Here is a 27,044-nt window from a genome sequence, read left to right on the forward strand (position 1 = left end):
AAAAAATAAAGGCGTCCAAATAGGAAGAGAGGAAGTCAAGCTATCCCTCTTTGTGGATGATAAACCAGGGAGGGCAACCATCTCTACAATGAGAATTACAAAACACTACTCAAAGAAATCAGAGATGACACAAACAAATGAAAAAACATCCCATGCTTATGGATTGGAAGATTCAATATTGTTAAAATGGCCATACTGCCTAAAACTTTACAGATTCAATACTATTCCTATCAAACTACCAGAAACATTCTTCAATGAACTAGAAAAAGCTACTTTAAAATTCATATGGAGCCAAAAAGGAGCTCAAATAGCTAAGGCAATACTAAGCAAAAAGAACAAAGCAAGAAACATCTACCTAATAATTTATTAGTGTCTCTATCCCTTACTGTGTTTCCTTTTGGATAGTTACTGTTAGTATGTCTTCAAGTTCACTTACCTTTTCTTCTGTAGTACATAATCTACTGTTAATCTCATAAAATATTTTAAACATTTTTATTTTTAATTTATCATATAGTAACCTACTATTGTATATGAATAATATTAATGAGAAAATGTTACATTGTTAGTTAAATTACTTGGGATTCATTTGCTTCTGAGTTTTTGTAATGACAAATATGGAGCAGCCCCTACTTTTACGCTTTTATAGCTGTACTACTAAACACAGTTGTTCTGTAGATTCTACTTAATATCCTATGGAGTATGAGAGCTCTGCTTTCTGTCTGGTAAAAATTGTTTACTTGCTTGCCAGTGGTGCTTTCTTTGGCCTTGAAATTTTACCCATGCATGCAGAGATTGGTACTCTACCAAAGACTGGAGAGGGGGTTTCCCTGGCCAGTTTTTCGTGATCTGTTTTTGTTTATGCAGCTTCTTTATCTCCAGTATTCTGCTATATAAATAATAGCCATCTTAACCTTTCCTTTCTAAACCCTAATGTCTGTCTCCTCATCTCAGCAAGATCACTAGACTAGTTTCATACACCTTTGCTCGGGCTTAGAGACTGATTTCTGCAGCAATCTAGGAAAGTTGTAGGACTTACCCCATTTTGTTTTTTTTCTTTTTTTTTTTTATTATACTCTAAGTTTTAGGGTACATGTGCACATTGTGCAGGTTAGTTACATATGTATACATGTGCCATGCTGGTGCGCTGCACCCACTAATGTGTCATCTAGCATTAGGTATATCTCCCAATGCTATCCCTCCCCCCTCCCCCGACCCCACCACAGTCCCCAGAGTGTGATATTCCCCTTCCTGTGTCCATGTGATCTCATTGTTCAATTCCCACCTATGAGTGAGAATATGCAGTGTTTGGTTTTTTGTTCTTGCGATAGTTTACTGAGAATGATGGTTTCCAATTTCATCCATGTCCCTACAAAGGATATGAACTCATCATTTTTTATGGCTGCATAGTATTCCATGGTGCATATGTGCCACATTTTCTTAATCCAGTCTATCATTGTTGGACAGTTGGGTTGGTTCCAAGTCTTTGCTATTGTGAATAGTGCCGCAATAAACATACGTGTGCATGTGTCTTTATAGCAGCATGATTTATAGTCCTTTGGGTATATACCCAGTAATGGGATGGCTGGGTCAAATGGTATTTCTAGTTCTAGATCCCTGAGGAATCGCCACACTGACTTCCACAATGGTTGAACTAGTTTACAGTCCCACCAACAGTGTAAAAGTGTTCCTATTTCTCCACATCCTCTCCAGCACCTGTTGTTTCCTGACTTTTTAATGATTGCCATTCTAACTGGTGTGAGATGATATCTCATAGTGGTTTTGACCTAATAGACATCTACAGAACTCTCCACCCCAAATCAACAGAATATACATTTTTTTCAGCACCACACCACACCTATTCCAAAATTGACCACATAGTTGGAAGTAAAGCTCTCCTCAGCAAATGTAAAAGAACAGAAATTATAACAAACTATCTCTCAGACCACAGTGCAATCAAACTAGAACTCAGGATTAAGAATCTCACTCAAAGCCGCTCAACTACATGGAAACTGAACAACCTGCTCCTGAATGACTACTGGGTACATAACGAAATGAAGGCAGAAATAAAGATGTTCTTTGAAACCAACGAGAACAAAGACACCACATACCAGAATCTCTGGGACGCATTCAAAGCAGTGTGTAGAGGGAAATTTATAGCACTAAATGCCTACAAGAGAAAGCAGGAAAGATCCAAAATTGACACCCTAACATCACAATTAAAAGAACTAGAAAAGCAAGAGCAAACACATTCAAAAGCTAGCAGAAGGCAAGAAATAACTAAAATCAGAGCAGAACTGAAGGAAATAGAGACACAAAAAACCCTTCAAAAAATTAATGAATCCAGGAGCTGGTTTTTTGAAAGGATCAACAAAATTGATAGACCGCTAGCAAGACTAATAGAGAAAAAAAGAGAGAAGAATCAAATAGACGCAATAAAAAATGATAAAGGGGATATCACCACCGATCCCACAGAAATACAAACTACCATCAGAGAATACTACAAACACCTCTACGCAAATAAACTAGAAAATCTAGAAGAAATGGATACATTCCTCGACACATACACTCTCCCAAGACTAAACCAGGAAGAAGTTGAATCTCTGAATAGACCAATAACAGGATCTGAAATTGTGGCAATAATCAATAGTTTACCAACCAAAAAGAGTCCAGGACCAGATGGATTCACAGCTGAATTCTACCAGAGGTACAAGGAGGAACTGGTACCATTCCTTCTGAAACTATTCCAATCAATAGAAAAAGAGGGAATCCTCCCTAACTCATTTTATGAGGCCAGCATCATTCTGATACCAAAGCCGGGCAGAGACACAACCAAAAAAGAGAATTTTAGACCAATATCCTTGATGAACATTGATGCAAAAATCCTCAATAAAATACTGGCAAACCGAATCCAGCAGCACATCAAAAAACTTATCCACCATGATCAAGTGGGCTTTGTTTTCTTTCAAGTATCCCAGTCCTTCAAGGTCCGTTGTCCAATATCTGAAAACATGTATTTTGTCTGTTTTTTCAGGTATGTATGGTAAGATTACAATTCTTGAACCAGTTAAGTTTTTCCGGGCAATTCTATAAACTTCAAGATATACAAACTGGAATATTTTCTGAGCTTTTAGAGAACTAGATGACTTCTATTTTTCTGGATCTTTGTTAATGAAGATAAATGTGGTTCTTTTCATTTTGTTAATAGAAGATACCTTATTGTTCTCGCTAATGTGAAATAAAGTATTTAATAAATGACTTATTTGTCCCCTGAATCCTGATTACTTCCTACTACAAACACACAACTCCCTCAACACACACTCACACATACACACACTCACAAAATGAACACGCAAAGTGAGAGACCTCCTCGTGAGTTCACTGATCACATCTCTATTGCCAAATTCTCAGTTTCTCTGCACAAGCTCTTTTTTGCCTGCTGCCGTCTACGTAAGATATGACTTGCTCCTTCTTGCCTTCCACTATAATTGTGAGGCCTCCCAGCCATGTAGAACTGTAAGTCCAATTAAAACTCTTTCTTTTGTAAATTACCCAGTCTTGGGTATGTCTTTATCAGCAGTGTGTAAATGGACTAATACATCCACCCACCCACCTACACACACACACACACATTTGTTTTCCTTATTGAGGTATAATCAATATACAAAATGTTGCACATATATGACTTTGGCCATATGCGGCTACTTGTGATGTAATCACAATCAATGTGCTATATATTAGTAAGAATTCTTTTGCTTACACTTTGCACTAATCTAATTCCAATATAATATAAATGTAACCTAGTCTGTATTCTAAAACAACATTTAATAACTCATACAGCACGGATGCACCATGGCTAGCTGCTTATGACTACATGCAGAGACTCATAGCTATTCAAACTTTGTCTTTGAATCTATACTATTTCCCTTACAGACCAACTTCTCAACAAGTGAGTTGCTGAATCTTAGGCAATTACCAGGCTTCTGTCTTTACATTTGTACCATTTAAGACAAACAAAAAGAACTTTTATTCAGATCAGTTTGAAAAATTTTTGTGAAGAATTCTGGTTGGCAAGGATTGGGTTGCACGATTATTCTTTGAAACCCTCCTTGTACCTATGAGGGTAAAATGAAATAATTGCTAGTGCCCTCTAAAGGCATATGTTTGGAGTCAGGAAGGAGCAGTTGCCCAAAAGAAGAATGTGGTTCTAAGAGACAAAAGAGAAAAAGTCATGGTTTAATAACAAAATATTTCCATTATAAGATGTTAAGTGCTCTCTCTTCCAAGTAATGAAGTTATTTGTAAGTATAGGTACAGCAATCAATGGTGTGTCTGTATTTTGACAAAGCATTTGTCAAAATCTCTTCTTATATCTTCACAGAAAGATGAAGAAGCATTGGGCAGAAAATAATATGGTTAAATGTATTCACATCTGGCAAAAACTCCTAATTAAAAATTGTTAATTAATAAAAATCACTAGTGATGTGTTGTAGGGCTCTATCCTTGGCTCTTAAGCATTCTATATTTTTATCGATGACTAGAGGAAATAATTAAATGTGGAAGTGAAGTTAAAGATTTTGTGGCATGGTTAACCTCACAGAAAAATACGTTGAAGTTACTCTGTATTTGAAGTCCAGCAGCTTACAATAATTCTTAGAATACAATTTTATCTCCTTGATTTATCTCAACAGATTTTCATAATCTTAGAATTTCTTAACAGGCATCCTTAAGCCTAACCATTTAAAACTACTGGCAGTTCCGTGATCATGTTATGTTCGCCCATTGTCCTATCTGGGTCTCCTTTTTCCTGTTATTAACTTCCTTTCATCTAGTTGACTTTTACTCATTTCACAAGGCTTAATTTTTATAAGAACCCAGTTGAATTTAGTTATAAGTGTTTGGCATTGCTGTAGCATCCTAAGTAAAATGTTAATGTAGCACAATTTTACAATGCATTGTATTAGTTGGTTTACGTTTTGGTTTTTATTTGTTTTCCTTTTCTCCATAAGGCAGAAAGCCACTGAGAAGGGCTTGGAATAAGTCTTAAATGCCTGTGTGTTCTCAATACCAAGAACAGTACCTAATAGCTAAAAAAGAAAATAGTAAATGTCAGCTTAACCACGTTGAGAAAGAGATTCAACATGATCTGGAAAACGAGAATGTAAATTGTAAGGGGTGTGTGTGTGTGTGTCTGTGTGTGCGTCTCTGTGTGTGTGCACACACTTGTGTGTATGTATTACTAAGGATCAATTGAAGGAGAATTTGCGTTTTGGCGATAATTGGTGTGGCAGCAGTCTGTGTAAAGAGGAGGAGAATGTGTTAGTAGTGTTAGTTCACAATCAATATGAAATAATAGCATGCTTAGTTTCCTCATAAATAGACTCCTTTAGAATGTGTAATTAAGTTGATGGGAAAGCAATAGCACATTTTTTTCTGTAGTTATTCATTTATTTAGTAAATTGTGTCAGGCTTGAGGAGATATTGCTCCATACCCTCGGGATTCAAGCTGGACCCGACAAATCTCCATCTTCAAATCTCTTAGTCCATTATTATTCAGTATGATAAGTGCTAACATAGAGAAAATTACAAAACAATGTGGGAGCACAGAGGAAATACCTGCTGCATCCCTTAAAGGTCTGAGTAGGAAATGTTATTTTAAGTTAAAAGTATTCAAATAAACAATAGTATTCTGGAGTAGTATAAAGGAATTAGAGTTGCAAGAATAGGAATAGCTTGTGTGGGATCTTGGAGGTGAAAATATGGTCCATTCAGGTAATTAAGTGCTCAGTCCAACAACAGCAGAGATGATAATATAGGAAAGTGAAATGCGTGCTCCATTTTGCAAGGCAAATTATCTCTCTGCTGGAGCTGGAACACTGGGAAATCAGGTTTCATTTTCACAATTTATTATGATTTTAACAGCATTGAATTTAATGTTGGGTTTTGTAATGGATATCCTCTTACTTCACATTGTAAAAAGAGTCATTTTGGATTCCATCATGCAGAGACCGAAGCTGTTGATTGACTTCTATGTAGAGAAGAGAGTAACACACAAGCAATGCACTTCCTGAATTTATATCAGACTTACTTTCCCTCCCTTTCCTCTTTTTTTTCCTTTCTCCCTTCCCCCTTCTTTGCTTCTTTCTTCTTGTCAGCCTTCCTGCTTTCCCGCCTTCTTTCATTGTGCCAGTACAGTGATCCATTTCTTTTCATTTTAATGGAAATTCTTTTTCATTGGGAGCATGATTTCTCATGAGCCATGTTCCTACCACTGCCTGCTGTCTCACATATTGTCACTGTCATTGATATTGCTCTTGAAGACTAACTTTGTGCCCTATCTCTAAGTAGAAATAATACAACATGAAACTTTTTGGGCACTTGTCCCAGCTAATTAACCTCTTTGACTAGCTTCATTTTATATGGTTCCTGTCATCATATAGAAAACTTAAAATATTAATTTAGCATGAGAGTAGAGTTGCATCTTTAGGTGGGTCCTGCCCTAAGTGGAAGTCTTCATAGGCTTTTAATTAAAATGATTGAAATAAGTGTTGATGATTTAAAATCTTTAATTTGTTAAACAAACTCCAGGGACATTGAAATATCTTCCATTATTAAATGACCAAATTACTTGAAACTTTTTCTTAATTGTTATGTTTTTAATAAAAGCCAAAAGTATAATTATTACAATTAAAGTATGTACTTCAGCTGATATTTTACATGCAAATTGAGTTAATATTTTTAAGGCAAATTCATATCTTCTGTCTTCAGACAGATGATTGTAGGTTAAAATTCAATATGAATGAATAACCAACATTATGATTTTTCTGGTGAAAAGGAACCAGAGATATATCAAAAATCTTTTAATGTATATATGATTATTCATTATGTATATATTTAAATTCTGTACAACACATGTTAAGAAGTATGATGATAAGCTGTATTGTATTCAGGGGTAAGCAAGGATAATTGTGATGTGTTCTAGAGATTCAACTATAACGAACAAAATTAATATCCTAGAAAATGGAAGTTTTCAGAATATGTATTAGCTCTATGATATCAAAAATTATTTCATGTGGAAAAGGCAATTGGTTCTCACCAGAATCTTAGTTGTTGAAAACAGTGCAAGTTTATGGGAGGTGGAAAAAGATATATTTGTATCCTTAAAGGAATATATATATATATATATATATATATATATATATATATATACACACACACACACACACAAATTACAACAGTAAAGAAGTGACAATTATTCTGAGAAGTGGCCATTTCTGTTCCAGCAGCATTGAACTGTTGATTTTGTGGAAATTTTAGATGTCCTCTAAATTATTATTACTCTACAATTCTATGAATATTCTTAGTATATGCTGGAAAAATGCAAACAAAACAAACAAAAAACAGAATTGATTGTTTAAAAATCAGTGATTTTAGCTAGCCACTAAATATGTTTTTGATTAAAGCTTTCTTCTGTCACCATCCAGAACCCATTTCAACTGATCACTGAAAATGACCTGCCCTAGCTTATTTTCACATGCTCTGTAAGAATGCTTATTATTGACCTCTCCTTAAGACTTTGGACCTAATAATCTCTACTATAACACTATGGATATAAGTGTTAGCTCTGGAGAATTTTGGCTCATTTCACTTGTTACTTGAGTAATCTCAGATAAGGTACTTAATATCACCAAGCTCAATATCCTCTCTACAAAATAGAAACAATGATAGGTTTATAATCTCAGGATTTTTTGATAATGAATGAGCTATACATGGTTGTAAAGAGTTTATCACACTGCCCAAGAAAGAGAAAATTCTTCACAACATGGTTATTATTCCAAATGGGGTTAATGTAGCATCTAGATAATCTGGTAAATTTGTATCTGTTAATAAGTTACACTTACTAATGTTGCCATACTAATCGGGCTAAATACATATAATATGTATTTTAAGTAAACTATCATCTTCCTCAGAATTATTATAAAGTGATTATTTCAAATAATTTAAGAGTGTGAACAAATGCCAAAGAAATCAGGTAGTACCATAGATGCTCAGTTTTGGAGAGGGGAAACTTTTGATATCGTCGAAAGAAAAATGACTTTACCTTTTTGAGTTTGCACCATGCTTATAATATTACTAATAATATATAAATGTAGCTAGGTTCAGTTTATTGTCCTAAAATCAGTTTTGAAATCATTCCAGTTGATTCATGGTATAAATTACACTAAAATATTTGCTTTGGTCTGGCTGACTATTTTTTCATAAATGTTATATAAATAAATATATACATAATATGCCTATATATTTATTACTGGTACAGTAATACTCTTTTTGTAATATAAATCTGAAGAAAGGCAACAAATATGAAAAAAATCATTGCTATCCATTTTCTGTATGAAAACATTCAAATATATTTTCTTGGTCTTATAAGCTTTCGAAAGTAGCCTAATTTTGCCATCTACATCTACTTAGTGATATAACCTATCTTCTAGATATACTGCATTACTGACCATTATTATCCTGATATGTCATTCTTTTCATATGTCATCTATTGGAATTAGTAGAGAGTGAACTAATATGTATTGAGCTTCTACTTGTGTAGCTTCCATGCTAATTAATTTGCTAGTTACAAAATTTCAAAATTCATTTTTTTGTTCTTCAACTAATTCTGAGAAATGAATGTTATCATTATCAGATGAAGAAAGTGATATTCAGAGAAAAATAGTATCCTTAAATTAATGTTGGGTAGGATCAAAGATGAGTTTTGAAGCAGTCTTTTGGATGTAATTTCTTTCCCACCACTTTCCTGTAGTGCCCTATATTGCTCACATTTCTTCTATTATCATCAGTGTATCACGTGTATAAGTCAAATAATACCCCCACACAAAGATTTATCTTAAGTAATGCTAAATGTATAAAGCCTCTTTAAGTGAACACCTCATAACTTTGTAACAGAACTCCTATGGAGTATTATCCTAAAGTACTCTAAAGTATTACTTTTAAGTCTTATCAAATACTACTTATGTCACAAACATTTTGTCTTCTTACTATGCATGTTATGCTACAGTTACATGTGTTCATTACCAACTTTCATTGTAGAAAATAAATTAGGAGCCATACATTTACATGTATACATATCATGAGATCAACTAAAATGACCTCAAACATAGATAATGCTTGATTATTATTATTATTTTGCTGCTGCTGCTGTTGTTGTTTGTTCTGTTTTGTTTTGTTTTTAGACTGAGTCTCACTCTGTCTCCCAGGCTGGAGTGCAGTGGCTCAAACTCGGCTCACGGCAACCTCTGCCTTCCAGGTTCAAGTGATTCTCCTGTCTCAGCCTCCCGAGTACTTGGGACTACAGGCGCCCACCACCACACCTGGCTAATTTTTGTATCTTTTTAGAAGAGATGGGCTATCGCCATGTTGACCAGACTGTTCTCAAACTCTTGACTTCAAATAATCCACCTGCCTTTGCTTCCCAAAGTGCTGGGATTACAGGTGTGAGCCACCAAAGTCAGCCTTGATTATAACCTTTTAATCATAGAAATAAAAGCACAGACTTGAAAACTTAATTAATAATTCATATTTTCCATCTCATTTTGGGGTCAACCATTACTACCAGATTCATGAAAAACAAAACACAATAGTTCAGAAATAAATGTAATAAGAAAAAATTTATTTTTATGCAAAACATACCTCTTATTCATGAAAACATATCGTGATAAGAAAAGTTCATGTAGAGTTACATCAATCCCAAAATAACCAAATTATTTCTGAAAACATTGAGAATGCCCTATATTACCAAAGGCAAAGAGCTGACATTGCCAATTATTTGTGTGTATTTTCTTACACAGACATTAGAATGGATGGAGGGTCATTGTCCAGAAAAATAGAAAACAGATATTTGGCAGAAAGAGAATGAGTTTCCACATAGTTTGTATGTACATTTTCCCAATTGTATGCTCTGCATCATTTAAAAAAGCAGATCTTTTTAAATTTAGTCATGTACTTTAAGGAGTAGCCAATGTAGTCAAGGAAGAAAGAGATTTCTGATGGGTATGTTTTTTACTTTAATTGCTTTAAGCATTTTTCTCTCCCAATATTGATGAATTAATGATTTAATTTGAACTGATGCCAAAGCAAAAGTTGCACTGGATAAACTTAAAGAGATTAGGAAGAAGTGCTGCAAACTCTACTCCACTTAAACAAAGGTTGGGAAGGCGTTTTAAGCGCTTGGAGAGTGGGGAGTCTTAAGCCATCTGTGAGAATTGACCTCACCCAAAGGAAAAGGAAATTTTCTTGTATCTTCATGACAGGAGATAGTTTTACAACTTGAAGATGGTGCCTACCAAAGTTAAGCTCCTACCCTCCCACAGAGAAGAGGCGGAATGCTATATTCCTTGATTACATTTCAAAAGGATGGCTCCCAGATCTTTGAGAAAGACAGTCATAAGTTTTAAAACTTATGAGAGGCTTATAAAACGATTTACAACTTAATGGGGCAGAGAAGGAATCTACAATCAAAAATTTTCTAAGGTAAATAAGCTAAGAAAATGTAGAGGAGAGATCTCCGTGGTTAGAAAATCTGAATTCTGTAAGGAACAGGGTAAGAGGGAGGTCAGGGATCTAGAGGCAATGGGAAGCTTGTCTATAGTTTTGTCAAGCTGAGGGCAATGTTATGCCTGCATTGGTCACTAGAATAATACTCCTTGACGTGCAATGAACGAGCCATCCTGGCACATATTTGTTTTTTGTTTCTCAGGCTGTGCCATACTTCATGTGAATCTGTTCATTCCATGATGTAATCATATAATGTTTCTGAATGGTACCAGGAAAAATAAATGTCATAATTTGGGTTAAGATGATGTACTGGGCATGTATATCTACATCCTCCCTTGGCTCCAATCATTGACAATTCTGTGGATAAAAAAAGACATACTGGTACTTACCAGTTTTTGAACCAACTTCCTCCCCTCTTGGTCCCCAACATGCTCCACAACTGTCCAATATAAGGAAGTACAAATCAGGAGTATGTAAAATTACTAAAAATCAGGAAGCAGATGTTTCTAGATTGAAGGAAAAACAAGATTAGTAGAAATGAATACAATATATGAGCATTATTTTCAAAGAGGATAGAATTCCAGTTCTCCAAACTCCAAATAACTAAATACCAGAGTGATGTAAAGCTCAGGGGTAATTGACTATGAAAGGTGCAATGAGGAATTTGCATTTGAGGCAGGTTAGTTTGTTGACAGACTTTACCTTCAACATTCAACAATCTGGCAATTTTTTGAGAAATTTACCTTCAACATTGGTGAGAATCAATGTGTGGGCTAATATTACCATTTTTATTTGGTATTATGAAAGGAAGATAAAGAAGTGAACACCAGGAAAGACATGGAGGAGTGGCAAAAGCAAACAAGCTACCTCATCCTCATTCCACTACAGCCACATGTTTAATTAACCATGTAACTCACTCAAAAAGCTGCTATAATGAGAGCTAGCATTTACCAAGAGATTAGGAGGGAATAAAAAATACAAAACAAGCAGGCAACTGAGAATTACCAAATATTGTTTCAGGAGATAAAAGAACACTAAACAAAAAGAATAATTGCTAATTTAGGAAGTGGAATTAAAGTAATGCACATAAAATATTTCAAAAGTATATTATATCAAATATTGCTAGAAAATTCATAGGGATGGATAGGAAACCATTAACCAAAGACAGACCATAAAGTGAATGGGATTACTAGAGATATTTGATATTTAAAAATATATTCTTTAAAAAAGATGGAATTATTAGCTTAATGTTTTCACCTCAAGAGCAAATTAGTGATCTACAGCATTCTCCTAGATCCCATGGCAAGAGAGGCAGACAAAAAGATGTATTGAACTGAACATATGTGAATGAGATAAAGGATATTTTTTGATAGCTCTACTGTACTTTTCGAGAAATTCAGAAGGAGGCAGAGGGAATGAAGTAAAGAAAAACAATAAAATACTTAATAAAGGGGAAAATTGTGCTGAAGAAGATCATAAATCTTCACCTGACAATCCCCAAGTGAATTCTGAGGAGAATAAATTAAAAAAAAGATATAAAGCTAGGCAGAATATGTTGACACTTCACAGAAAAAGAAAATCCTAAAGGTTTACAGAAAAAAAGTACCAAATTAACTACAAGAGAAAAATAAGGAACATGACACTAGATTCCTTATGCTTAATTGAAAGATAGCTGGGAAGATAAGTTCCTGAGTTTTTATGATTCTATTCTATTTAATTCCCCGGAATTTAGGGAGAAAGGATGAATCAAAGAGAGACATGACCAAGTTCTGATGAAGTTTCACATCTGTTATTGAGGAGAGAAGGACTCAGCGAAGTAGACTGAAATGAAACATCCACTGGGATAGGAAGGAATTTAGGAGTGGATCATATCACAAGTGTTATAACAAGGCAAATCAATTCAATTGTGTTAAACCATATGGATAAATCGAGAAAGATGTAGATAGAAGTAGGCAAATTACATTTCAAAATGTAGTGTTTTGGTGGCTTTGGCAAAATAATTTCACTGGAATGGTGGGAAATAAAACCAAATTCACATAAGTTAAAAATAACTGAGGTCAAGGAAATGGAGACATTTTATATACAGTTTCTGAGAAGATTTCAATGGCAAGAGAATCAAGTAGGATGTGAAATTTCTGAAAGATATATGGAAAAAAGAGACTCTTACAGAAAGAAAACATTAGGTCATGGTTGTATGCTTCTGGAATTGTGGGGAGGAGTATGAATGAGCTAGTCAAACCTGCACGGGAAGTGGAGAGACTTTGATTTGAGAAGGGGTCTGGTCTGTTTTACAATGAGTTGTAAAGCAGAAATAATACTGAAAATAGATTTGATAATAGATGTATTTACAGATTAATTGAAGGGAAGATAAATGTATTTTATTCTGATTAAATCTATTTTATCTGTGAAGTATGAGCCTATAAATTACCATAAAAATGTGTTTGTAAGAAGATACAGAAGTTTTAAAGAGCACAAAGAAAATTTTAAATAACCCTTGTAAAAATAGAAAAATTAATCTATCAATGTTGAGTGGTTGGGTGGGATTTATCATCACACGTTTAAAGCAAATTTATGTGAATGTCTCTACTATTCTTCAGCTATTTGGATGTCGATATGGAAATCATGGACTAAAGTTTTATGCAGACTTGGGCTTTTGCCTGAGTGAAAGGATTGGGCCTTCTTTTTAGTAATTTAAGTCTAAAGGAAGATCTCTGGATTACAGCTTGACCAATAGAGAAGTGAGCCACAAGAGACTATTGCACAATGAAAATATTATACATATAATAAATGTTGGCACGATATGATCTCAGACTTGCTTTGGTAGGAATACTTGAGTAAACCGGTTGGTGAGTTAGAAAGTTGTGATGAATGATATATTTGTGATGCAAGACAAATATTACATTGAGTATATCTGTAAATATATTCCTCTGATTTCTAAAATGTAGACAGATTGTACAATTTTTCGATTCAAGGACTTTTTAAAGGTAAACATTAGAAGCAGCCTAATGCTAATTTCTTTCCCTGTCTTTTCTAAAAGTATAAATAATGGGATAGATTATGTAATGGGTCTGTAGTTAGGAAGAGAGAGAGAAATTGCAGCAAGGCAAGACAGACAATTTTTGGAGATTATGAAGGTGAATATCTTTAGTGACAACGTTAAATTTTACATGAGCCCTGTACTCCTGTAAAACTGTGAAGGCTAAAAAATACCCCAATCCTTTGTGTCTCCTAAAATGGCTACTGCAGAGGACCACACTTTCCCATGTGACTTAGATAAGACTCATGGATGCCTCACTTGTTTATTTATGACAATGCCAGACACAGATCCTCCAAATTCTCATTATTTGTCTCATAAATGATAGCTAAACTGTTTGTCCTTGCTGATCAATGTGAACAAAATGTTTGTCAACTAAACTTTGATTAAGATTCTTTCCTTCCTCCAGGACCTTGCACCGTGGCCGACTCTCAGCCTGAGTCAGACTGCCAACTTCTTCTGAGATAGGCTGGCTTCCATTGACATTCTCTGATTTACTGGGCCAAACTGATCTACTCCCCACATTGGGATGTTCCTAGTCTTATTTACTCCCCTCTTTAAAAAATGAAAACAAAAACAAACAACAAAAACAATCGCCTCTTTGACATTTGTGAAACATTTGTCCCTCAGTATCTGTTGGGGATTGGTTTCAGGACCCCCTGCAAATACCAAAATCCACGGATGTTCGAGTCTCTGATATAAAATGGTATAGTATTTGTATATAACTTATGTTCATTCTCCCATAAACTTTAAAGAATCTCTTTTATTGTTGTATTGTTTCTATTTACTTATTTATTTATTATTTATTTTTGATCCACGGTTGGTTGAATCTGCGGATATGGAACCTGCAGATACCGAGATTGCACGTGTGGATCTGAGGGTTACAGCTTTCTCCCGACTGTGAAGTCCCTATTCTTCCTTGCAATAATCCTTTTGCATAAGTGTCTTGTGTAAGTCCTGATTTATTTTATTTCTTTATTTTAAAATTGAACTGCAAAATCCCACTGACAAGGTGGTCTTTCTGATTTAATAAATGAATGAATGAATGAATGAATAAAATGTATTGGTGGATTTTCAGGTGCAGGAAAGAGAGTTAATCAGACTGCTCACTTCATAGTGTGTAATCAGCAGCAGCATACCCAAGGTTCTTTCTTATTTTATGGTTCTTTCTTTATCCCTTATTCCCACACAAATCTCTCCTAAATGCATCCGCATTAGCATGTCTTGATATAGGTTTTTGTCACTCTATATGGCTTTACATAATTTACTTAAAATATATTTGATTTACATCTCATCCTAATTCTTAATTTTTTTCAGCACTGTTTTATCACCTATGGCTTTTGTCATATCCACTAATCCATAGTTTACAAATACTGCATTGTATTCTTTACCATGAATCCCTAGCATCTTATTTAGCTATTCCCTATATACATATGTAGACTGTGAAAGTTGCCAAGTCAATATATTTGTATGGAACTTTGTATACAGTTTACTAAAAAATTATCTGGCATATATAAAACCAAGGATAGTATAAATGTTTAGTTGAAGAACTTTATTTTACTCAAGTTTACTAAATGAGCTTGAAAATTGTACAGAATAGTTGAAATAACCTCCAGCCTCACCACAAGTGAATAGGAGTTTCTTTCTCGTGAAATCCCTTCTAATTCATTATATTATATATAATTGTATCTTTTCAATACATTGGGTTTAGAATAGTAATATAACTTATATTAATTCTCATTTATAGGATTACTAGTGATTTTAAGCATCTCTTTAAATACACATAGCTAATGGGATTTTCTTCTGCAAAACTTTCTATTTATATATTTTTTTCTTGCTTTGTAGATTTCTTTTTATACTATAGAAGTAAATTTTTGGTGTTTTAAGATGTGGCAAATTTTTTTTTAATTTATTACCCAGTCTACATCATCTTTTCGTTAATTTAATCCTTCATTTTGAGGTAACCAAATCTAAAAAAATCACTCATCTTTCGTACTTTGGAAAAAAAATTTGTTCTGATGAAAATATATTTTTACATTATTGCCTATTAAGTTTATATTATATTCTTTTACATTTGGTCTTTAATTAACTTATGGCTCACTTGGATGTGTGGCAAAAGCAGGATCTTGCCTTATCTTTGGCCATGTTTGAGATGGTTTTCTCAATGCTACTAATTTACGTCTTATATCTCATTCATTTTTCTAATTTTTCCATTTATGTATTTTTTCTTGAGCTCTCTATTTTGTTCAGGAGCTTATTTATATCTAAGCCAAGACTGAACTGTTTTCATAGCAATGACTCTTTGAATGTCACAATATCTGGTATGTTCAAATCTTTTTTCTTTGCCTTGTTTCTGAAAATTCACACAGCTATTCCTTTGTGTTTATTTTTTGGCATAGATTTTAGAAATTGTTTGTTAAGAGCCTAAAACAAATAACCAAATTAAAACATCATGGGGGTATTTTGTAAATGCATTTGGAATTGACAAAAAAGCAAAATAAATTCATTAGAGCTGATATTATGGCAAATTTTTCCCATTTTTTAAATATACTTTAGAATATAATAGAGTACTAAAATTTCTCTTTTCATTTTCGATACATTCTTGTTATTTTTTCTCCATAAGGAAGCAATATTTAAACCCCAGGATAGAATAAAATATTATAGTGTTTTTCTAAAATGCAAACCTTTTCACATCAATATTCTTTGATTCTTCTTACTTTATTGTCACTTACTGATTTTGCTTCTCAAATAATTTAAAATTGTTTATGATTCCTTTTAGGTTACCAAATAACAGTGGTCATCAGAGAAAATACAGATATTAGAAACAAACTGTAAGTATAATCTATATTCTACTACCACAGAACAACTATCTTTAACTTTTAAATTTTATTTCAGTTATTATTTCGACTCACAGATTTCTCCAGTGATTTACAAGGTATATTTCCTTTTATTTATTTTTTCTTAAATTTTACAACTCAAAAAGTTTGGAAATATTTCTGCAGTCCATATTTTTTAAATTCCTAAGATAAATAAATAAATATATGTATATATGTAAACATTGTCATATATCTAAATTATAGTAAGTGTTACTCAGGTAAATAAATACATGAAATTTTACCTATGTCTTTATTATATTTTCTGAAATTTGCAGTTCTTCTTAGGAACAAGAGTAACAACCTAAGATTAGGTTAAAGGAAATGTTTAATATACTATAAACATGCAAAGTCACTTATCTTGGGCCCAATTTATCATACTTTCTATGAAAATAATATGGAAAATGGAAACCATTAAAACAACTTATTTTTGTGTCTTTCTTGCATCCATGTAAGCATTGAGTTCAAATCAGTGCAAATCCTCTCACATGGATAAAAGATTACCTGATTAAGTTATTTGCAGTGGATCAAATAGCATTAAAGAAAAGTAATTCATCTCTACAATCTTAGTAGGCAAATTATATTTACTCAAGGATATATAACAAAACTGATAAGGGACAATTACACGAGATTTCCATAACAAAAATAATCTTTATCAGTCAGTAAATTTAAACATCACTGTCTGCCTATGATAAACAAACAGCTATATATTTACTCTGTTAATGTAATGAAAACCCTATTATAGAGCACTGTACTTTGTCATGTTTCTTTATTTTCTAATATGGTTGCATGTTAGTTTTTATGCATATAATTACACATTGAAAGTAAAATCTGAAGACATACTGCCAATAACCTGAAAGAAGTTGTAATTTAATTTAAAATGAACCTCTTAGGCTTGCCACACTTTGTGAAACTAACCTGTGGTTTCCAAGAAATCGATAATGTTCAATCAGAATCTTTAAGCATACAAACTACTATAATTTGTTATTTGTTACTTTAGTCAAAGAGAATTAATACAAGCATAGCCTTAAAACATTTTGCTTCTTTCCAGCTCTCATTATACAATATTTATGTCAAAACAAAAGAAATAGTCTCCAGGAGAAAATATCATGGAAACATAGAAAATAGGAATTATAACTGTTTAGTGAGTATTTGTATAATGATATGCTTTTTACCAGGTAATTGTTACTTATCTAAAACATAGCATGTTATCAGTTGAATGTTGCCACCCTCTCCAATTCATATATTGAAGTCCTAATCTCCAGTACTTGAGAATGTGATCTTATTTGGAAATAGATTATTGCGGACATACAGTTGTTCTTTAAACAATATGGGTGTTAGGGGTACTGGCCCTCCACACAGTTGAAAATCTATATATAATTTTGACTCTCTCAAAACTTAACTAATAACCTACTGTTGACCAGAAGACTTACCAATAACATGCCTAACACATATTTTGTATATGTATTATTTACTATATTCCTACAATAATGGAACCAAGAGAAAATTGTGGAAGAGAAAACATATTTACTGTTCATTAAGGTCTTCATCCTCATTGACTTCACATTGAGTAGTTTGAGAAGGAGGAAGGATAGGAGGGCTTGGTCTTGTTCTCTCAAATGTGGCAGAGGCAGAAGAAAATACACATATAAGTGGACCTGCGCAGTTCAATCCTGCATGGTTCAAGGGTCAACTGTAATTAGTAAAGATGAGGTCATACTGGTGTAGAGTTGTTCCCTAATCCAATATGACTGTTGCTCTTATAGAAGGAGGAAATTTGGAACAGACACGTACACAGGGAGAATATCAAATGAAGATTAGAGTTATGCTGTCACAAACCAAGGAACCACCAGAAGCTAGAAGAAATAGCTAGAACTGATCATTCTCTGGTGTTTTAGAGGGAGCATGGCCTTTCGGACACCTTGATTTTGGACTTCTAGCCTCCAGAACAGTGAGAAAATACATTTTGGTTGTTTAAGCTTCCTGGTTCGTGGTACTTTGTTACTTCAGGCCTAGCCAGTTAATACAGATTTTGGTACCAAGAAGTGTGGTGCTTCTATAACAAATTCCTAAAAATGTGAAAGTGGTTTTGGGATGGGGTAATATTGTAGGCTGGGAGAGCTTTGTGGTACATAATAGGAAAAACCCAGATTGCTTTGAAGAGACTGTTGCTAGAAATATGAGTGTTAAAGAGATATCTGCTGAGGTCTCAGACAGGAACGAGGAACATGTATGGGAAACTGGTGGAAAAAGATAATCTTGTTATAAAGTGGTGAGAACTTGGCTATTTTATGAAAAGTAGAACTTGTAAATTGATGAGCTAGTTTCTCTTTGCTGCTCATAGTAAAATGAGAGAGGAAAGAAATAAAATCTGGTTTTCTTTTTTAAGCAAAAAAGAACCAGAACTTGATAAATACTTAGACTATCCATATTGCAAATAATAATAATAATAATAAAAATAATAATGAAATAAAAAAAAGAGAGAGAAAATGTGCTCTGGAAATCTGTGTTTCCACAGCCAGGAAATGGGCTGATTAAGCCACCCCCTATGAACATGTATCCTTCAAGAGAGATAAGAACGATCCTCAAAGTGGATCAGGATCTGGCTCCGGCTGGGTTCCCATGGGCAGAGGTACCTCTTTGGTTTCTGAGAGCAGGGCCACCAACGAGGGACTACAGAACTTAAAAACAAATCAGTAAATCGCAATAATCTATAAAGTCTAGAGGTTTTATGATAGTCCTTTTTCAGAAATAACGTTATGCAAGTACTGTTTATTCAGCATACTGGGTGCTTTTTATAGGTTAAAAGGAGAACATTTTTGTCTCTTTATCATCTTTTATCATCCAGACGCTTCCTCTATTAGCAGATAGAAAATGCCTTTTTTTTCTAAAAGCTCATCACTATAATTGTATTAGATAAGACTTGGAGAAAAAGAGTTAACAAAAAGTTAACCTTGAGGTGACTCAAATTTAAAATACAGAAAAGAAAATGGTGGGCGATTGTATTAAGAAATATAGTATAGCGATAGAAGCGTTTTCCATCAACAATATTTTCCAAGGTTGGGATGATAAAATAAAACTTTTGAGCATCCAATGAAACGAGCTTATTCAGAAACAGAGTAGTTTTGCTGAAACATGAGAGAAATGTCTCCCTTAGTAAGCCCCGTGTTTGTCATACTGCTGTGCATCTGAGGTATGTAGAAGGAATATGCACTATAAATCAAACTGTCAAGGAACTTTCAAACCCAGTGCTAAATATGATTCATTTCAGCAAGACATTTAAAGCTAATACAGTATAAAGTTGAAAAAAAAGGTCTAAAATACACGGCACGGTACACTAATTTAAAAAAACACATGAAAATTAATGTTTAAAGTATCTGGCATAATTAAATGTCATGTTATATATTTTATTATTATGTTGATACAAAAGAAAAAAATTCCAAAGTAATGGTGTGGTTTTCTTGATGAGTTAAAATATCATCCTTGACATTTTCTCTTAAATATGAAATATTATAGTAATAACCAAATGCTTGTTCAAATTAAACATACAGATAAGACTATACTGAAAATATGTAATTTATTGTCCAATGCAGTGTTAGGTGAAGGACTAGCCTTTGGGTAGAGGGTCCATGAGTGGCAGTAAAAAATCCTTCAAAGACACAAATTCTATAATAGATTTTGCAATATACTGAGGAATTTTTCATGACTCAGGAATAAATTTCCATGAAACATCAGAGATTTCTCTAGCTAATAGGGTGTGTCTGAATGGTTTGGTAACTTTCTTGGTGTGTCAATTTTAAGGATTGTGGACCAATGTAATTTATACCTAGAGTGAAGATTCTCATCTTTTCCTTTGAAGGACTTCAGTGAAATTTAACGATATCATCGTTCTCACTCTACAAATGTAGCTTTAAAATACTCAATTTATTTATGTATATTATCCACACACTGTCACAGAAAGTTAACTCTTCAATGTTGTCAGACATTGCCATTTATGTCAAATATTTTGCAGGCAAAGATTTTGTAAAATGCTAATACAATGAAGTGTTAATTTAGCAAAGGCCTTTAATGTTTTTATTCACTCTGCCTCTATTGTGAGGATTCTAATTACATGTGTCTTATCTCCTAGGTTTAACTGTGATAAATTCCTGCTTCAAAATTAATCTTTTGTCTTGGTTTCATTCTTATTTTCTGTTTAAATTGTACTTTTACTTTCCAGTTAGAGGAACATCATTCTAATTAAGGCACCAACCTAAATAAAACAGATATTCTTTGTTCACTAAATGCAAGAAATACACATGTATAAAAAATAATCAAACGGAAATGATTGTCTTATATATTTGGATAATTGCTTACATAAATAGGTCGTGAAAACCCACTGGTGCAAAACAGTAATATTGTATGTCTGCATATTTGCTTATAGGATATTGACATAATTAACTTGAATCATTGAAAATAAAATACCAAAAATATATAACCTAAATAAAGATTACAAACTAATGGTGATGATCAAGAGTTTTCAGTAAATGTCTAGATCATGTATTTCGTGTGTAAAAATATTTATCAGTATAATACTTATAAAAATATTTTTAATATTTTTATATAAATATAAATATTATATATAAAATATAAAAATATATTTTATAAAACTATTTTATATATTTTATAAAAATATTTTTATAAAAATATTTTTTATAAAAAATATTTATGTAGTCTTCAATTTCAGCAATGTTTTAGGCATAATTATCATTGCCATTTTAAAGCTTTACCTAATTATAACTTTTGGGTATTGTAATTGAAGCAACTAACTTTACTCCTTGCTAGTTAAAATTTAAAGTATCATTTATATCTATTCAAAATTATTCTGATTTTGACGATCTTTTAAATATAATAGAAATATGTGATAGTTCTAAAATTCTCAAGTTTTTTAAAGTCAAGTAAAGACTTAAAATGTTCAATGTCTGAATGTTTCAGAACCAAGTTAATTATTCAATTGATCTACTCTATCTTTCCATATGTAGCTTTCCATTTGAAATATTGATAATATGTTTCAAACAGTTGTGGGATATTTTACTAGATTTGAAAGACTTCAGGGTAATCATATTTGAACTCAGCTGTTTGACCACTTTCTAACAAACAAATTTTTTTCATCATCATATTACGCCTTTTAGTGATTAATAGAATTTTAGTTAAAATAAATTATTAACTATGTTAGTAGTCACTTGCTACATTCAAGAGAGAATTTATTTATGCCAGAGTTGGGTAATCTTTTTCACAAAGATTCAAATAGTAAATAGTTTAAGCTTTTTGGGGTTATACAACAACTACTCACTTCTGCCACTGTAGTGTGAAATCGGCTGCAGACAATACAAAAATGAATGAGTGTGGCTAGGTCTCAATAAAACTTTATAAAAACAGGCACCAGCCCAAATTGGGCCTGTGGGTCTTAGCTTTCTGGCACATAGTTTGTACCATTTTACATGTAAAATATATATTCTCAGTTTTCTACTATCCATCTCCTGCTTGTTATTATTACTTTTATTCAATAGGTCTAAAACAGAGTTTCTATTTGTGTCCCATTTATCTACTTTACCCACTATTCTCAGAGTCCTCCAGGTGCAAAATCTGTAATTATCTGTAGTTGGTTCTCCCTTTGTCCTTTCTTGTTCAATTAATTTCGTATTTTTGTAGGTTATATTTTCATAATATCTCAAGCTTTATCCTTATGTTCTGTTGTCCATGAGGTGATCTTAAATAAGCCTTTAATACTCTTGCTTTGAGCATAAAAATCACTCTAAATCAATTTGTCTCCAGATTTTTCCTTTAAGTGTATTCATCCATTCTACAAAACATCTTCTAAAACCAACTCCAGATCACAACTCCTCGCCTCTCTTGAACCAATTTCAGTCCAGCTTCTGCCTGATTATTTCTACCAATGCTCATAGAATTCAGTTCTCCATTCTCATCAAACTTGACCATTTGGTGAGATTTGAGAGGGTTCATTTACTCCTACTTGAAACACTTACCTCTTTTGGCTTTCAGTACACTGCACATCCTTGGTTTTATCTTCTATGCCACTGGCTGCCGTTTTTGTCTTCTGTGCTCCTCACCTTTAGAACTGAGGCTTTCCCTATTGAATAAAAATCAGAACGGATTTTTCTTTCATGCTGTCAGAGGCTTAACTACCATCTTTCCCTTTATGTATGGAATGGCCCATTTTAATATTTTCAGAGGTATTGGTTTTCACAACAAAAGTTAACTTCTAATGCCTTTGGAAAAAAAGAGGGAATTTTCAAAAAAGTGAATTATTTTAGGGATTTATTTACTTAATCAGAAATTTCAGCAGTATAAAATAAGTAGAGAAGTTTCTTTTGCAATGGTAGGAGCAAAAACATTTCATTCAAAATGGTTATTATGTGTAAGAAATATGATGGATATTTAAAAATGCAGCATGATCTTTTCTGAAGTCAATAACTTCTACAAAAGGCAGCTTTCAATTCTAAGGCTTTGTAACATAAATGAAAAATAATGTAGATTAATATATATTACCATAAACACATAAATAGCTTTGTTTTCGCAAAAAAATTAGCAAGCTCATGGTATCTCTGAAGTTGAGCCTTTTAATCTTTAGAAATTAAATAAGGACATTTATTTTTAAGTATAATGCTATTCTCTATTTTGAAGTTTTTAGAATGTGAATCATATAGTCATTTGTTTAAATATAAGATGCATTATTTAAATTCAGTAAACAACTTTGGCAAACATTGTACAATTTTTTTCTTTTCTTTTATTATTTTTTATGCTTTTAATTGTTTTTCTGAGACAGAGTTTTGCTTTGTCACCCAGGCTGGAGTGCAACCGCTTGATCATGGCTCCGTGGCTCAATGCAGCCTCAAACCCCTGGACTCAAGTGATTCTCCTGCCTCAGTCTCTCAAGTATCTGGGACTGCAGGCACGCACCACTACACCTGATTTTTTTTTTTTTATTTCCTAGAGATGGGGTCTTGCTATGTTGCCCAGGCTGCTCTTGAACTCCTGCGATGGCCTCAAGTTATCCTCCTGCCTCAGCCTTCCAAAATCCTGGGGTTATAGGCATGAGATATCACACCTGACCTGTGCAATATTTTTCAAAGAAAACATGATAAGTGTGATTGTATCGATATCTAGAAAATAATAATATTTGAAAAATTATAAGACATGTCTGTAGTCCAATAAATTTAATGATGTGGTAAATAATTTCCAGAGAAGACTGTCAAAAACACTTCCCATATATATTGGATCTATTCACCTGCCCTTATATGGCCACATGATTTTCTTGGAAACCAGTAAGATACGGCAGAAGTGAAAAATAACTCAGATGTGGTTTGACCTTAAATGGCTTGGCAACACCCCTTGCTCTTTTGGAACCCTCAGGAAACATACAAAAAGGTTTCCTTCACTGTCTTGGCACTATGAGCCACCACAGAAAGATATCTAGGATACCCTACTGGAGAGAACACAAGAAGAGAGCGTCTCGTCCACATCTAACATTGAGGTGCCAAACATTTGAGGGAGGAGTGCTCAGAATTTTTTGTCCCTAGTTGAACCTCCAAGGATCTTAAACAACCTAGTTGAACTTATGAGAGACCTTAAACAACCAACCAGCGGAACCAGTTATCTGAACCCAGCTAGACTGAAGAATAATAAGTAAATAACTGTTTATTATTATTTTAGGCCACCAAGTTTTTGGCAGTTTGTTATTTAACAGTAGAGACAGCATGATGAAATTGGTAGCAGATGCAAATGGGTGTCTTTACTGGAGACTTCTCTTTTATCTATCAGGTTACATTTTGACTCCTTAGAATGGTATAAGTTTGCAGCAAATTTTCTGGTCAATGTGGGAAAATATTCAATATTTTTCCAATATTTCTGATGTCTTAAAATGATGCCATTCCAATAGAAATATAATATGAAACATAGATATAATTAAAAAATTTCTAATAGCCATATTTTTTAAAAGTATAAATAGATAAAATCCATTACAGTAATATAGTTTACTTAACCAAATATATTAAAATGTTATTATTTCAACAAATAATAGATCTGAACTTACTAATGACATAGTTTGCATTTTTCTACTTAATCTTTCATATCACATGTGTATTTTACACTTAAAATATGTTCATTTTTGACTATCCATGTTTTAAGTGCTCACATTTCAAATATGGCTAGTGAATACCATATTGGAAAACAGAGCTCTAAAATATGTCTTTTTATCTGTCAATTAAAAAAAAAAATCTGTTGGCCAGGCACGGTGCCTCATGCCTGTAATCCCAGCACTTTGGGAGGCCGAGGCTGGTGGATCACCTGAGGGCAGGAGTTCAAGACCAGCCTGGCCAACATGGCAAAACCCCGTCTCTACTAAAAATACAAAAATTAACGGCGTGGTGGCAGGCACCTGTAATCCCAGCTGCTGGGGAAGCTGAGGCAGGAGAATCGCGTGAACCCAGGAGGCAGAGGTTGCAGTGAGCCGAGATCACGCCACTGCACTCCAGCCTGGGCAACAAGAGCAAGACTCCATCTCAAAGAAAAAGAAAAAAACAAATATGTTTTGTGCCTGCTATTTGCTAATTTCCATATTTTTTATACTTGTCCTATTTATTCACAATATATTTGTAATAGAGTGATCATATAAATATTATATTTTTTTCTCTTCTTATAGTTCACTATTAAAAAAGTTTCAGTTACCTGAATGTCCTAGGTTTTACACTTTGGTTCTCATATCATTGAATGACTAATTATTATTCCATATCATATAATATGAATATACATGTAAATAGATATTTTTTCTCCTATACTATTCGATAATAAGACATTAGAGGGGAGGTAAGTAGTACAATGTTGTAATGCCTATTATCTTTCCTGGCATATATTATGTAATTAAGTTTTAATTTATAGATGATTAAATACATTTCTATTTACCATTCATTCACTCTCAATATCATTACTCATTTCTATGAATTATTTCAGCAGTTATATCATGATTATAGTATTCTTGGGAATTTACATCTATTTTAGCAGATAAGGATATAATGCTTTTTATTTCACTACATTTGATTTCTCTTCATAAATTCTAATGTGTTAGAATTTGTAAAAAAGCAAAGTATACATTTAATCTTGCTTTAGCAGGTTTATCCATGTATATGCATGGTTTGATACCTCATTTCTTTTTCATAATGAATGGTATTTCACTGTATGGATGTACCAACATTTGTTTGTACGCTTATAAAGTTGGTTTTAGAGCTATTCAGTGTTTTTCTTGTTCTTGAGCTGTTGTGGTATTCTCCACTCAGTTGAAGAACTGGAGGAGTTAGGTGCTCAATCAGGATGGTCTTGTTAACTCTACATCCTGGATTAATAGGTAATGTAATAGCACTAAGGAAATATTGTGTCTTTAGACGGAAAATGCTTTTGGTAAATACAAACAATTTTTGTGGAATAGCTAAATGGAGCAATATTAGACTAGCAAATGAAAATAGTGGTAAGAGCTTAACCCTCATTATCTCACACAGAAGTATAAAATTTTAGCTCCATTTATCCACAATTCTACACCAAATTCCAACCAATATAGTTCATAAACTTTCTGATACCCATTTAATTTCCATCTTTCTAAAAAGAGATCTCAGGCCCTTTCAAGTTCGTATTGTATTTTAGCTTAGAATCTTTATTTCTCATAAACATACACAAAGGTCTAACTTCAATTTTATATCCATTCTCTCTCCCACCAGTTCAGTTTTTATTTTATTTTATTTTATTTTATTTTATTTTATTTTATTTTATTTTATTTATTTTGTTTATTTATTTTGAAATGGAGTCTCGCTCTGTAGCCCAGGCTGGAGTGCAGTGGTTTGATCTCGGCTTACTGTAACTAACCTCTGTCTCCCGGGTTCAAGCAATTCTCCAGCCTCAGCCTCCCGAGTAGCTGGGATGACAGGCGCCCACCAACACACCCGGCTAATTTTTGTATTTTTAGCACAGATGGGGTTTCGCCATGTTGGTCAGGCTGGTCTCGAATTCCTGACCTCAGGTAATCTGCCCACCTCGGCCTTTCAAAGTGCTGGGATTACAGGCATGAGCCACCGCGCCCAGGCCCACAGTTCTGTTTTTTTTTTTTTTTTTTTTTTTTTGAGATGGAGTCTTGCTCTGTCTCCCAGACAAGCTCCGCCTCCCGGGTTCGCGCCATTCTCCTGCCTCAGCCTCAGGAGTAGCTGGACTGCAGGCGCCCGCCACCATGCCCGGCTAAATTTTTTTTTTTGTATTTTTAGTAGAGACGGGGTTTCACCTTGTTAGCCAGGATGGACTCGATTTCCTGACCTCGTGATCTGCCCGCGTCGGCCTCCCAAAGTGCTGGGATTACAGGCGTCAGCCACCGCGCCCGCCAGTTATGTTTTTTTTTTTTTTTTTTTTTTTTTTTTTTTTTTTTTTTTGAGACGGAGTCTCGCTGTGTCGCGCAGGCTGGAGTGCGGTGGTGCGATCTCGGCGCACTGCAAGCTCCGCCTCCTGGGTTCACACCATTCTCCTGCCTCAGCCTCCCGAGTAGC

At 33.7% G+C, this 27,044-nt stretch overlaps 1 long non-coding RNA gene across 1 annotated transcript in view; it reads left to right on the forward strand.

The window, feature by feature from the left end:
- The window catches only part of LINC00373 (long intergenic non-protein coding RNA 373), a 93,216-nt gene that overhangs the window by 55,032 nt on the left and 11,140 nt on the right, over positions 1–27,044 (forward strand). Inside the window, exons 2-3 of the long non-coding RNA NR_131919.1 lie at positions 14,443–14,541; positions 16,371–16,422. This is a non-coding gene — a long non-coding RNA (long intergenic non-protein coding RNA 373). The remainder of the gene's footprint in view (positions 1–14,442; positions 14,542–16,370; positions 16,423–27,044) is intronic.

This window comes from Homo sapiens, chromosome 13, assembly GCF_000001405.40.
Source record: "Homo sapiens chromosome 13, GRCh38.p14 Primary Assembly".
Classification (NCBI taxonomy): domain Eukaryota; kingdom Metazoa; phylum Chordata; class Mammalia; order Primates; family Hominidae; genus Homo; species Homo sapiens.